The sequence below is a fragment of the Homo sapiens genome, chromosome 21, assembly GCF_000001405.40.
Source record: "Homo sapiens chromosome 21, GRCh38.p14 Primary Assembly".
Lineage (NCBI taxonomy): Eukaryota > Metazoa > Chordata > Mammalia > Primates > Hominidae > Homo > Homo sapiens.
In genome coordinates, this window is record NC_000021.9 from 13,835,770 (window position 1) to 13,850,039 (window position 14,270).

General features: G+C 45.8%; 2 pseudogenes across 1 annotated transcript; one reads left to right on the forward strand and one right to left on the reverse strand.

Moving 5' to 3' along the window:
* Positions 2,961-4,026, forward strand: ZNF114P1 (zinc finger protein 114 pseudogene 1; annotated as a pseudogene).
* Positions 7,364-12,595, reverse strand: CYP4F29P (cytochrome P450 family 4 subfamily F member 29, pseudogene; annotated as a pseudogene). Its single transcript, NR_026755.1, has 6 exons — positions 12,321-12,595; positions 10,990-11,180; positions 10,244-10,372; positions 9,236-9,505; positions 8,253-8,366; positions 7,364-7,663 (listed from the first exon to the last, which is right to left on the reverse strand). The product of NR_026755.1 is annotated as a cytochrome P450 family 4 subfamily F member 29, pseudogene (transcript).
* Between the last annotated feature and the right edge of the window lie 1,675 nt (positions 12,596-14,270).

The following is a 14,270-nucleotide window of genomic DNA, read 5'->3' on the forward strand; positions in this document are numbered from 1 at the left end:
GCTGGGTAATTTATTCATTTATTTTTTAAAAAAAGAGGTTTATCTTGGTTCAGGGTTCTGCAGGCTGCACAGGAAGCAATGGCGTCTGCTCTGGGTGAGGCCTCAAGAAGCTTACAATCATGGCAGAAGGTGAAGGGAAGCCAGTGTGTCACATGGTCAGAGAGGGAGTAAGAGAGAGAAGGGGGCAGTCCCAGGCTGTTTTTAACAATCAGATCTCTCATGACCTCACTGATAAGAACTCACTCACAAGGGGATAGTGCTAAACCAAGCTTGTCTAACCTGCAGTTTGCAGGCTGAATGCAGGTCAAACAGCTTTGAATGTGGCCCAAAACAAATTTGTCAACTTTGTTAAAACATAAGAGATTTTGTGTGTGTGTGCGTGTGTGTGTGTGTGTGTGTGTGTGTGTGTGTGTGTGTGTGTTTAGCTCAGCAGCTATTTTTAGTGTATTTTATGTGTGGCCCAAGAAAATTATTCTTCCGTTGTGGTCCAGGGAAGCCAAAAGTTGGACATTCCTGTGCTAAACTATTCATAAGGGATCCACCCCATGATCCAATACCTCTCACTGGGCCCCACCTCCAACATGGGGGATCACATTTCAGCATGAGATTTGGAGGGGACACACATACAAACTATATCAGGTATATGTGCCCGTCATTGAGACAGGTTGTAGAGTATGCATACTTTCAGATGGGTCCTGTCATGTTATTTTCTGAAATGTTTAAAACCATTGAATTTCCCATCCATTGCCCATAAAGGTTGTTTTCCTCATATCCTCATCACACAATGTTACGTAGGATTCTTATATTTTCTAAGCGAGTGGTGAAAATACAGATCTCATTTTATTGTGCACATTTGCATCTGTCATATTGTTAATAATGTATTGGAATTTTTCGGCCCATCTTTCTATTGAGTTGACTATCTTCTTTGTTCATTTGAAAATCAATCATATTCACTGTGCCCTAAGCACTGTCAACATTTTCTACTACTCTGTCACATGTCTGATAACCTTGCATGCCAGCCTTTATTGAAATGAATCTTTATGATTTTTATACTCCTTCCAGAGTTTATGTATTTAAGTAAATTTTTTGGTTTAGTAAATCCTTTATTAAATTGTAACAACAGGCCCAAATCTCTGTTTTGTTGGGTTCATTCAGATTTAGAGTTCAGAAAACTTTTTGGTGGATAAATTCTTTTTATCATAATAAAGAAGGGCTATGATAATGCAATATGATTATTTCTGCTAATGCTTGTTGTTTTATAGCCTACTTTGTTTATGTGGTCAGGAGGACAAGACCTGAATGGCCTTGGCCAACTCAGCTTTCTGTACCTCCTGGTTCTCAGAATAATTTTAGAATGTTCCGAGAAGACAATATCCTGAGATAAGGAGAAACTGTCTGGGACAGTCTGGGCTCTGCCCTTGTTGTTCCTAGAACAGGATATTCCTGCAACTCTTAAACTCAGAGAGCCAAGTAGCACATGGGGAGTGAAACCTAGGGCAGAGCACTCAGGGGTTCCTCAGCTGCAGTACACAGTGGAGCATGTGCAGAGGAGACTCCATCAACCCTGGGCAACTTTTCTGACCTCAAGGGTCAGGCTTGCCATAGAACTTAGGCTTTTGCTGATTCTTCCTGCTCCTCTGTGAGTGATAAATTTGGTTTATCTGACTTACTGTGTGAGCATTCTTCTGTTTCTGGCAGCTTGGTTTATATAAAAAAACCTCTTGCTAGACCTATGAATCTATGCAATGTGGAAGTGTCATAGAGGTAAATAGGAAGCAACTTAACTGAGTTGAAAACTAACATACACAACATGGGGCCACTGCACCAAGGGGCAAAATGAGCTGGCCAAAAAGGCCACATGTGACAATGCCAGCCACACTGTGGAAGAAGAAGGATGCTGAAACTCAGAGAGATCTGAAGATCTTATCCAAGCCAACAGGAGGCAGGGAATTCCACTGTACTCTGATTCAAGAGTACAAGCTTCATCTCAGAGAAAAGCAATGCAATGGCCTCAGCGATCAGACCAGAGAGACCCTCTGCCACAGAGAAAGCAGAGATCCAGAGAACAGCATGAAGACAATAGGAGACTTGAGACTCACTTTCACTTTGCCTTGAGGCCACAGAAAGCCCAAAGCATCTGAATATCTTCTTGGAGGCATTTTCCTAAAATAGAGCTATTGAAACTTGAAGAAAAATGTGAATCAAGAAGCTAAATTTAAAGATATGTTATTTTCTCCTGCCCTTCCCCACAAATTAACCACAGGATGAGTCTAGTGAGATAAAGCATATCATTTATACAAAATACAGAAGTTACATATCCTTTATGTGAGCAGAAATATGTTCAAATTTTACTCAATAAATGTATTTTGTTTTACTACTAGAAATAGTAATTTTCACTTGGTGATTACTTTATTTTATAATTATTTCTATTTAAATTTGTATTAGCCCACTCCTGGGTATCTACCTAGAGGAAAATAAGTCATATGAAAAGACATTTGTACACACATTTATAGCAGCACAATTTGCAGTTGCTAAAATGTGGAACCAGGTTAAATGTCTATCAGCCAATGAGTGGACAAAGAAAATGTGTTATAGATACACCATGGAACTGCTCAGCCCTAAAAAGGAATGAAATAATGCCATTTGCAGCAATCTGGATGGAGTTAGAGATGATTATTCTAAGTGAAGTAACTCAGGAATAAAAAAACAAATATTGTATGTTCTCACTTATAAGTGGGAGCTAAGCTATGAGGGTGTAAAGACAGAAGAATGATATAAGGGACTCTGGGCACTCGGAGGGAAGGTTGGGGGGTTGAGGGATGAAAGACTACACATTGGGTACAGTGTACACGACTCGAGTAGTGCATACACCAAAATCTCAGAAAATCACCACCAAATAACTTTTCCATGTAACCAGAAACCACTTGTTTCCCAAAAACTATTGAAATAAAGTGATATGTATGAAAACAATGAATATGATAGTCTTGAGGTACAACATTCACTGGGTTTCATATGGGAGAAAAACAGCTAAAATCAAACACATGGATAGACAGTCAGAACAATGTCCATCATATACATAGTAAAATTAATACAACTGCAAACATGCATGAGTGGAGTCCATTTGGAATAGCCTGCAGTGAAGATGTATGCCTTAGGGCCCACATAACTCATGTTTGGGAGAAAATGTATAACTTTATTCAATATGAAAATGTCTTCAGAAATAACTCAGTCCATGCTGTGCAGATGCAGTCCTGTACTGTAGAGACAAAGAATAAGAATCATCAAAGTGGAATAACCTCTGCCCCTGCTCCAAATTCTGGTTCACACGGCAGTAGTACTACTGGAGAGAAAAGCCATACATGTCCCAAATGTGGGAAAGCCTTTATTTATCTGTCATTTCTTGTGAGACATATGAAAATTCACACTAGAAAGAAATCTTATGAATATGACAAAAGTGGCAAAGGCTTTAGATATTCCCTACACCTTAATAAACATTTAAGAAAGAACATTCTGGACAAGCCCTATGAATGCAAGGAATGTGGGAAAACCTTCAGCAAGCCTCAAAACATGCACATATAAGGAGTCATGCTGGAAAGAAACCCTATAAATGTGACAAATGTGGAAAAGACTTTGCAAAGTCATCAGAATTAAAAGCCACCTTAAGAGATACAATAGTGAGAAGCCCTGTGAGTGAAAGGTGGAAAATCATCATTAATTTTTCACCATACTGAACATGTGAGGAGGACATACTGGAAGGGAGCTCAATGAGTTAACATGCATGAGAACATCTTTCCTGAACTCTCATATCTTACAGAAGTGTGAAAAGAAACCCTGTGAAGGTAAACTCTATGGAAAGCCTTTCATTCATCTTCATTCATCTTGAGTAGCTATTTGTTCTCACACTGGAGAGAAGCTATGAAAGTAAGGAACATGAAAAAAGCCTCAGTGTTGCCTCAGACTCATAGTTCATACAAGAACTCACACTGCAGAGACTGCTTATGGAAGTAAAAAATGTAGAAAAGACCTCTTTAAACACTTATCCCTCCTGTTACACATGAATCCACACTCTGGAGGGAGACTGCAATGGGAATAAATATAAGAAAGCTTTCAGTTCCAGCTCTTCACTTATTAGGCATGAATGAGCAATAGCAGGACTGAAGCACTGTAAATGTTAACAGTTACTGCAATTATCATTGTCTTATATCTCAATTAGAACCCAAATTCATAATTTTATAGTTTTTCTTTTCTTAAAAAAATGGTATAAAATGACAGATAGCTGTCTTAGCCCCCTTTCTGCTCTGCCACCTTAATGTTGCTATGTAGTAGCTTTGTTACAATTCACTTACATACCCATGGTTTTATTTTCAATGTGAAGCCCTCTTTGAGTTCCATTCAATTTAGATTTAGAATTTGTATGCTCCAGGATACCCTTTTTTTTTGTCAGTTTGTTTTAATTGGTCACAATTTGCCTGCATTATGGTCACATTATGTGGCTTTAATGGTACTGATTTGGGGTGCCTATTATGACTTTCATTATGGTCTAATATGGCCATTTCTGTCCATTTCCCTGCTATATCCATTATTCTCATCTTCTTCACTAAGGGAGCATAGATTTATCTTTTACAAGGAGCACAGTTTATATGTCTTTATTTATTTATCCTTATTTTATTATTTAATTTATAATTTGTTTTTGAAAAATGGTCTGTCTCCCAGGCTGGAGTGCAGTGGCATGAACATAGCTCACTGCAGCCTCCTGGGTTCCTGTGACCTCCCAGCTCAGACTCCTGAGTAGGTAGCACTTCAGGCATAACAGGTGTGCACCACCACAGTCAGATTTTGTTTTGTTTTGTTTTTGTAGAGACTGGGTTTCATTATGCTGCCTGGACTGGTTTCAAGTTCCTGTGCTCAGGTGATTCTCCCACCTTGGCCTCCAAAATTGCCAGAATTACAGGCATGAGCCACCATGCCTGGCCCTGATTAATGTCTTTAAATGAGTTTCCCAGTTTTTCTCATAACTGCAGTGAGCAGAGCTTATAGTCTTGGCCAATGTGAAATGCAGAATTCACTGGTTTGGATTTCTGAAAATCTGTTTGGAAAGGGAAGAGTTATTGTTCCTTTTTTCCCTTAATCATATTCCCTTTGCTCTCTCTGCTTGCTGCTCTCTGGAAATAGGATGAAATGCCCTGAGTCCAGTTTAGCACCTTGAAGACCATTGGAATGATGCTCCCAACAACACAATCTTCAATATACAAGATTTCTCACTCCCCAATGGCATGTTGGGTATCCATGGCTGCCCTGGACTATTTCTGGACTTGTTTCATAAAACTAACCCCTAGTAGAACTAAGAAACAATTTTAGGAGAGATACTTATAATAAATTAAATGATAAACCTAAAAATGAATAAAACATATTATAAAAATAAGGAGAATAGACAAAATGGGCTTGCAGATGCTGACTGGCCACACATCCTTGGTGCTCACCCCCATGGATGCCTCACCAACTGTGACACTTGGAGAGCTGGCAGCCATCACTCAAGAAATCAGAACACAGTGGCCTCTACCACAGCATCAGGGAACAAAAACTAAGCCTGTCAGCTCTCAAGAAACATACTTATGTGTATGTATATATATATGACATAAATTCATTCAGTTACTTTGAGATATCTCATTGCTAAACAGATAAAATGAATTAAAACTAGTGCAAATTTCTGGCAACAGTACTTCATCTCCCCATTATTTATCCAGGGCATTGAAAATTGGCACACATCACAGATCCTTAAGTCATTCTCTGAATCAGGAGGAGAAAAGAGGAGAACAGAGAGAGCTTACCATATGTGCCAGTCACTGGGCTGAGTGCTGTGCCTAAAGGATCCCACTTGATGCTTGAAATAACCCTGCAAGATCAAACTAAAAACTCATACACACTCACACACACACACTCACACATACACACACATGCTCAAGCACACACTAGAAACTACAGAAGAAAACATTGACAACTAATAGAAGTATAGTGCTGGCTAAGCACAGTGGCTCATGCCTGTAATCTCAGCACTTTAGGCCAGGAGTTCAAGACAAGCCTGGGCAACATAGCAAGACACCATCTCTACAAAACATTTTCTTAGATAAAAATCATTTTTAAAAAGTGGTATAATGTCTAAGGGCTCAGGGAAACAGTACCCCTATGGCTGTATGGTAAGCAGCAGGCAAGGCTACTTGTCAGACCAAGGTGGTAGTGATTCCAGGGTTCCTTTGCACACTTATCCAGGAGCCTGGCTAGCTCAGCACTGCCTGGGTTTACTTTATACCTTCTACAGCTCTAAAGCTCTGGCAGGTGGGACCTAACCATAAGAGAAATTGCTATTACGCAGGACTCTCTTAACTGCAAGTGACTGAAACCTACTCGATCCAGGAGAACATTGAATTACTTGACTCTAATTACTAAAAATATCCTTAAGTAGATGGGCTTCTGGCTCAGTGAGATCAGGGGTCAAATAATATCAACCAAGACTCATTCTGTCCCTTCATTTCCTGTGTCAGCTCTGCTTTTCATGCAAGCTATTTTGAGAGAACAGCAAAAATGGCCCCATAAATTCCATATAATTTACTTCCTTGCAAGTAACTGTGCCAATAAAAAGAAAGCACCTCATTCCCAGCAGTTTCATCAAAAGTGCAGGGATGACTTCCATCAGCCCAGCTTGGTTCACATGCCTGTCCCTGAATTAATTACCCTGCTGATTGCCCAGGGTGGCCAGCCTCACCCCAATCACATGGACTAGTATTGAAAGAGTGGTCCTCACATGAAAAAAAAATGGAAGAATAGTGGCAGAGAAATATGGGAGGGAGGGCCTCATCTCTATATAAAAAGTATGAGCATATTTGTGTTCTTTTGTAAACTTATTGATATAGTCACTGGGGAAAAAAATTGAGAAAAACCCACACACGACTTTCTACATGCCTCTGTGCTTTGTATTCAACACTGAGCTGTGACAACTGTAATTATTAAAACAAAACTTTGAAAGGAAGTAACAATTTAGGACAATGGGGACCCTTAGCTGATGCGACAGTGAGCAGTTCTTCTTTTGTGTGCATGAAGATGCAATTCCCAGGAGCCCGCCTGGGGTCTTCTAGAACAAGCATGTGGGCACCTACTGGCTGCAGTTCCACTTTTCCTTCCCTGGACTCTCGGGAGAAACAAGTTCTGGATTCAGCTGAACTGAGTTTAAGTTCAGGCTCTGTGACTCACTGGGTAAATCTCTTGCTCTCCTTGAGTCCCATATCCTCATTGGTAAAATGGAGAGGTAGAGTTATTGTTAGGTTTGGAAGGCAAGGCGAGGGTTAAAGAAAGACAGAGAGACAGTTGGTGGCTTCAACAGCAACATCTTTATTGCCAGCAAAACCCTGGGGAGGAGGAAACCAGCTTAGTGCCAGCACCAACTGCCACTCACAGGCTGGGGTAATCATGGGACTGGGAGGGAGGGATCTGGGTGGTAGAGCTTGCTGCCCAGCAGGATATGGCAAGGATGTCCCTGCAGTCAGGCTGTTGGGCCTTTGCCCAGGAGGACGCGATAAGGATGTTTCTGCAGTCACGTGGTTAGGAAGGATGTTTCTCATGGCCCAAGTTCCCATGGAACGTTTCACTGTGATCAGAGTCTGCAAAATGGCTGGAGGTTTACAAAATGGTACAGGTTAGACTAACAGTAACATCTCCCAGGTAAGTGGTTCTACAAAGTAAACTTCCCTTGAGCATCTACACTGTACCAGACATGGTGCTAGGACCCAGGCCACAGGAGGAACAGGACAGATGAGGCCCCTGCCATCCTGGTGCTCACGTCTGATGAAGAAAGCTAACAGGTCATAAGACCAGGTCAGATGGTGGTGGTAATCAAAGACATTACCAGAGTGAGATGAGCTAGAAAGAAACTGAAGGAGCTCTTACAAACACAGTGACAGGTGGAGACCCCTCCAAAAGGTGACTTTTGAGCAGAAACCTGAGAAATGTGGAGGGGACTATGGAGAATGACAAGCCCCTGAAGCAACCCCAGGATTGGGAGGGCAAACCCGGCACCAGGAGGGCAATGGAATGGCCTGACCTGTGCGTCCTTCATGCTTCCTTTCTCAGTGATGCACAAACAGAAACATGGGGCAATTTCGTGCAGGGTCCATGGATGAAACAAGAAGCAGCCGCACTGCAGAGCTGGAGTGGGGATAAAATCTGACCCAACAGTAAAGCTAGAAGCAGGTGCTGCTTACCACTGACCACAGTGCAGGTCATGAAGCATAACCAGACCATGAAGGCACGTCCAGGGCCAGACCAGCTGGCCGGGCTGCCAACATCTTAGTAGAGATCCCAGGAGATCAGTTGAGCTGGTTAGGGGGAGAAAAAAAAAAACAGGAAAGCTTCAGAAAATTCCAGAGGACCCATGACACTTAACATCAACTTCCCCCAAGTGGGATCTGTTTGTCATTGCTGGTTCTAAAGAGTTGGTTCCACCACCCCCACCTGCCCGTTGCCTAACCAGGGGAAAACTCAGGGTGGGGTCCACAGAAACAATCCCTCTGGAAGGGGAAAGGGTGTTTCTCATCCAAAACCAAGGGAAAACACCACTCATAAGGAGCAGAGGGGCCTGAAGGGAGAGACAGGATTCTGCTGCTCATTTGGATATCTGCTTCCCAGCAGGAAAGGGGACCACGCAGGATACAGTGTCTAAGTGGACCCTGTGCTGTGGGACTAGGGGGGCTGGTGCTGACTCACTGTTGGAGGTGAGCCACTATAGGAGGCTTAGAACCCCTCCCTGCAGCCTCTCCAGTCTAATAAGGGGATGGTAGTGTGGTCAGTGGGGGCATCCAGATGCAGTCAAAGGGCACAGTGAGTGATGTCTCCTCTGGCCTCCTCTTTCAGCTGCAGATTCTCCGAGTTACTGGAACAGCTTCTCCATGGCCCCACCAGCCTGGAGGGTGGTGACAGCTCCCAGATGACGCTAACCCCAGGGCCCTGCGCCATCACCCCTGGTTCCCCTTGGCCCTGCCCACACCTATGTAAACAGCTTTTTCTTAATGACCCTTCAGCCGCTTCGAGGTCCCTGCCAGTACCTGACTGCCACATTCCCCAAAGGGAACAGGCTCCTCAGCCCAGGAGCTGAGGTTTCTACAGGCACAGAGAAAACACTGTCCCAACTGTTGGAATGGAGTCGGGAGTGGAAAAAAGAACGTTTTTTCTCAATGCTTAGACTCACCAATTGTTTCATTTTATCACATGAAGGCTGTGTGGCATTTTGAAGTAGAATTAATAATCTACATAATTACAAATTATATTCTTAAAAGAAGGTGCTCAGTGCCATGCCTGACACATGGTGGAACTCCACGATGAGATGTGTGAGAAGCCAGGGTGCCATGGTTACAGACAAGGACTGCAGGTACAGACTGCTTGCTTCAAACCTGGACCAGCGGTGTGAATTTTGGCAACTCTCTGTATTGCTCTTTGCCACTGTTTTTTAATCTAACAACTAGAAGTAAAAACAAGGTTATTGTAAAAATTAAATGAATTAAAGTAAGCAGAGTGCCTACAACACCCCCAGGCACACAGTCAGCACTGAGCATGTTTTTCATTATACTCTTAAAGAGGTAAGAGTGAGAACACAGGTGCCAGCCATGAGCCTGGGTTTCTCTGGAGAGGCATCAGAGACTCTACTTTTAACATCCTCCATTCATTCATTTGACCCTGGTAAGGGAGGAGTCTCATGGGATACAAACAAGCATCCACCTTGGGGCCAGACTTCCCATGGTCAAAGTTGAACTCCACCACTGTTCAGCTGGGTGACTTTGGGCAAGTGACTTCCCCTCTCTGATCCTCATATTCCCTTTTGATAAAAACAGCACAATGGCAGGCCTATGGGGATTGAAGGAGCTGACAGAAAAATGTGTGCCTTAGTATAATTTTCCTGGAAGTAGATCCTGAGGCAAATATTCAAATACAAAAATTCTATTTGGAGATAACTCTAGGATAGTAATTCGACTGCCAGTTCTTCCTTAGGGTGCGTATCCCAGGAAACACCAGTAGAGGAGTGGGGAACTGAGACAGGAAAGGAATGCAGCAGTTAAAGGGACCTTCATCAAGAAAGTTTCCCCTGTGGCAGCCAGGACTCAGCCCTGCCAGGTACATCTGCAGAGACAGCACAGAACATGTGCCTCAGAGTCACCCACCCAAAGCAAGGGAGCTGGGGTATTTATCCACCAATACCCACCAGTCACTCCTCAGGGATCCTTCCAAGGGCATGATTCCTCCAGAATGTCCTGCCTGATCTGCAAGTGTCAGACCAGGGGTTGAGGACAGGGACCCTGACAGTACCTCCAGCAATGAGCAGGAACACAGCCTGGTGTGGAGAGTTTCAGTCAGTGATTCCAACTCATACACTTACCCACACACCACACTCCAGCCCCAACAATGTGTATATGTACACACACATACATGCATACATGACTGTTACCCACTTTGATCCTGGTGACTCCATGGGATATACAGTAAGGCAGAAATCAGAGGGAAGAGCAGAATTAAGGGGAGTGAAAATCTTAAGAAGAAAATGCAAATTTAGGCAGAAAATCAAGGGGGAAGAGGAGTGTTCTGGACACCAAATGCTGGCTGGGTGGCACCTACTCTACACACACTGTCACTAATTATCCAAGAAGCCTTGTGGGGTAGAAGAAATTCCTCTTAATTTACAGATGACAGAAATGTAGTCCAGAAAACTGACTTTACTAATGTCTCAGCAAGCTAGTGGGTGATAGATATGGACTCCCAGATCTTTCTGTCCACAGAGCCTATAAATTCTTCCTTGTTAGGCAGGCTGCATACCAGGCCCTGCTTCTGGGCTCTGCTCCTTTTCCTGCTAGGCAATCGTGGCAGAATTGACAGAAATGTTATCCCCCTTCACCACCTGGAGCAGAGCCAATGAGAGGAGCTGGGGAACAGGCCATGAGGCCCTGCACCCACCATTCAATGTCTTCAGGATTGTGGTCCCTCAGAACTCTTGCACCACATGATGGCATCACTCCTGGGTGTCTTCTGAGGTTGCATAGGATTCAGTAGAGGCCAGTGGCTGTGCTGTCATATCCTAAGAGGCAGCCACGCAGGCTTGCGTCTCTTGGCTGCTTCAGCACCAGAGGTTGGACAGCGCCCATGCACTGAGGCCCTCGGGAGAATGGGAGGAGGGAAAGGAAGGGCAGAATGGAGTGATGTAGTGTCCATCCACCATGTCCCTGGATGGAGAGACCCACACCGGGACCACCGCTGGTACTCATGAAGATGCCAGCCTCCATTTATATGTCCTCATCTGACAACTCCTTCCCATTTTCATCCTGGAGACAAGACCTCTGAACACATTAGCTCTGAGGGCACCTGAGTGTAACCTGAGACAGTCCCTGAAGACTTTTCATCCAAGCAGGATCCCTCCCTTGCCATCTCCAGACCTGCCCCACAAGCTCCCTCCCGGGTCTCCTGGCTCTTGTTCACTCCTTCCAGGCAGCCTTCTACAGTCATCTCTAAAATATATCTGACTGTCCCTCCTTTATCCAGCACCTTCTATGGCTCCCCAGAGCCCTCCAGCTCAAGTTCAAGTTCTTTGATCAGACATTTGATCTCAAGCTGCATTCTACCTCCCAAATTAAGATACTGGAGAAGCCACCTTGCCCAGCACAAGTGCATCACTGAAGTCCCAAGTCTTGAACGTGGCCTTGGTCTTGAGGAAGTCATGAACACCCTGGCTAGTGAGGGTGCAGGGCTGCTCCAGGATGATGGTGTCTAAAGTTGTGCACAAGGTCACAGGCCCTGCAGAAGCATCACCCCTCAGGAATGGGTAGTACAGGAAGTCCATGCACAGGCAGATCTGCTGGTGCCATTACACTATGAGGGCACTGAGCTCAAATAGGGTGGCAATATATTCACTGGGATTCCTGCAAGGTGAGGCTGGGGAGAGGAAGCAGCTCCATAACACATATGAAACCCTGGAAACCCTTCTCAGCCAAAATCTCAGGACCACATTACACCCAGAAATGGGTGCCCTCTGAGCACAATTGTCTCTCTGTCTCCCACTCTGAGCTCCCTCATGGCCCCACATGCCCCAGCCTGGCCCAGAGCTTGAAGCCCAGTAACTGTTCAGTCCATGGTGTTGACTGCTCCCTGGGACAGGAGAGCGCTTGGTGGCTCTGGGACTCCTCCTGTGGAACCCCTGCATCTGCCTTGGGACCTCCCAATTCCCATGGGAAGCCCCCATGGCTCTGGATTGCCCCACCTGCCCTGGGATCCTCCAGCCCCATAAGACTTACTTGATGCCTTAGACCTCCCAGAACATGACATGTTTCTCAGAATGTGGCTGATGTCCAGGGCCATCTGTGGATGTTTCTGGGGACTTCTAGCTGATTTCCTTTATGGTCTGTAGGGCACGGCCAAGAGGAGAAACCAGCCCAACCTCAGAATGGACAAAAGGCTCACTGCCCCAATGGCAACCACCAAACTGTCAGCAGTGCTTCTGAAAGGAAAGGTTTCATTCTGCAGAAAGCTCCTTGTTTGGCTTCTTTCTGACGCCAGGGAGGGGTACCAATCCCTGCATACCTGTGGTGCCTACGTTACCATCTCTGCCTAGGATGTGCAATGGGCCCCTGCTCTCACTGCGGGGTTGACGTTACCTCCAGCTGGAGACCTGGGCTCCTGACACCGCCTGGCCTCTTTGTCCTTCTCTGGATGAGGGTGGAAAGGCTGTACCTGGTATTTCCCTAGGTCCTTGGTTTCCACCTTCTAAACATCCAGCAGGAGTGACCATGCCCAGCACCACACCTGAAGTGGGACTCCCTTGTGGAGCAGCCAAGAAATCTACAGATGGAAGAATGCTCTGGTGAGATAAGCCACAGGGGTCCCTGGGGAGGATCTGGGGCCAGAGGATTCTGGAGGTTTCCAGCCTTGGGCTCTGTGGGAACTATGATCTGGAGATATTTTTTTCATTTAGGTCACCAAGAGACAACCCCTAACCCCTGAGCAAGGCATGGTCAAGCTCTGGCATGAGATTCTCTTCCAGCAATGCAATGCTTGCAGAGACAGGTACAAAAGCTGGTGACCAGGCCTGCTGTCCCCCAGGTAAGGACAGTGTGCTACCCACCCTCTGAGAGGTGGTGCCAGTCCACAGCACTGGGTGCCTGTACCCCTGGCTCTGCAGATACCGGTCATGGAAGTCCCATGGAGGTCCTCCCCTCTCCACATTACCTTCTTGCTGCTTCTAGACTTCTTCTAGTCATTAAGCATGTTGAGCCATTTTTCTGTGCATCCGATCTGACATTTTTGCTCTCAGATGAAACACGACAAAGTAAGCTGAGCCACCAGGATTCCTGGAGGGAACCTTGGATGCTTGGTCTTGGGCTCCAGGGCACTGATGGGAGGGAGCCAGGGAAGAACAAACACTGGGGCTGAGCCCCTATGACCCAATGGGAACTTGTGGCCTGTCCTTATGGCCCCAAGACACCCTGTCCTCAGGCCACAGGCACCACGGGCTTTGGTCAGATCCCAGCCTCCCAGTAGTGTCCCGGCACTAGTGGGTGCTGACCCCTGAGCCACAACCACAGTTCTGGGTTTGGGGTATGGTAAAACCACCCCAGGGACAGAGTTCTGGGGCCGGGTTTGGGAGGAACCAAGGCACCTCCCAGGGATGGTGTGTCACTCCTACTTGCCATGAAATGTGCACAAAGGCTGTCCTCCTGCCCATCCCATCCTGCTGGACAGGATGGAGGAAGTGAGGGAACAGGCAGCGTGGACAGCTAGGGTGCAGGGAGAGGCAGGTGCATGCTGGGAGGTCAGGCCCTGTGAGGGCTGTGGGGGCATCAGGTGGAGTGGGCTTCAGGTACACCCTCAGTGCAATGGGCAGGTCTCAGGCCAGGCTTCCTGGACCCCGGCTGGGTGATGTGGTCACTCCCTGGGGGACTACTGTCAGACCCTGGCCACGCACCCTGGGCAGCACTGTCCCATCCCAGGACTGGATTTTCTGAGTCCTCAGACAGGAAAACACTGCCCAGGCCTGACAGACTGGGAAGACCTCTTAAGTCCTCCATCCCTAGACCAGCCTCCCAACAGCAGGGACAGTCTCCTACCTTTACCTTCAGGGCACTGACTGATCCATCTCACTCTAAGGCAACCAAGGCAGAGCTGAGGACCTGTGCCAGGCTGGAAGCCAGTCCCCTCCCTAAATAGGCCTTAGGGAAGCCTCATCCCTGTCCCAGTGCACTGCAAGT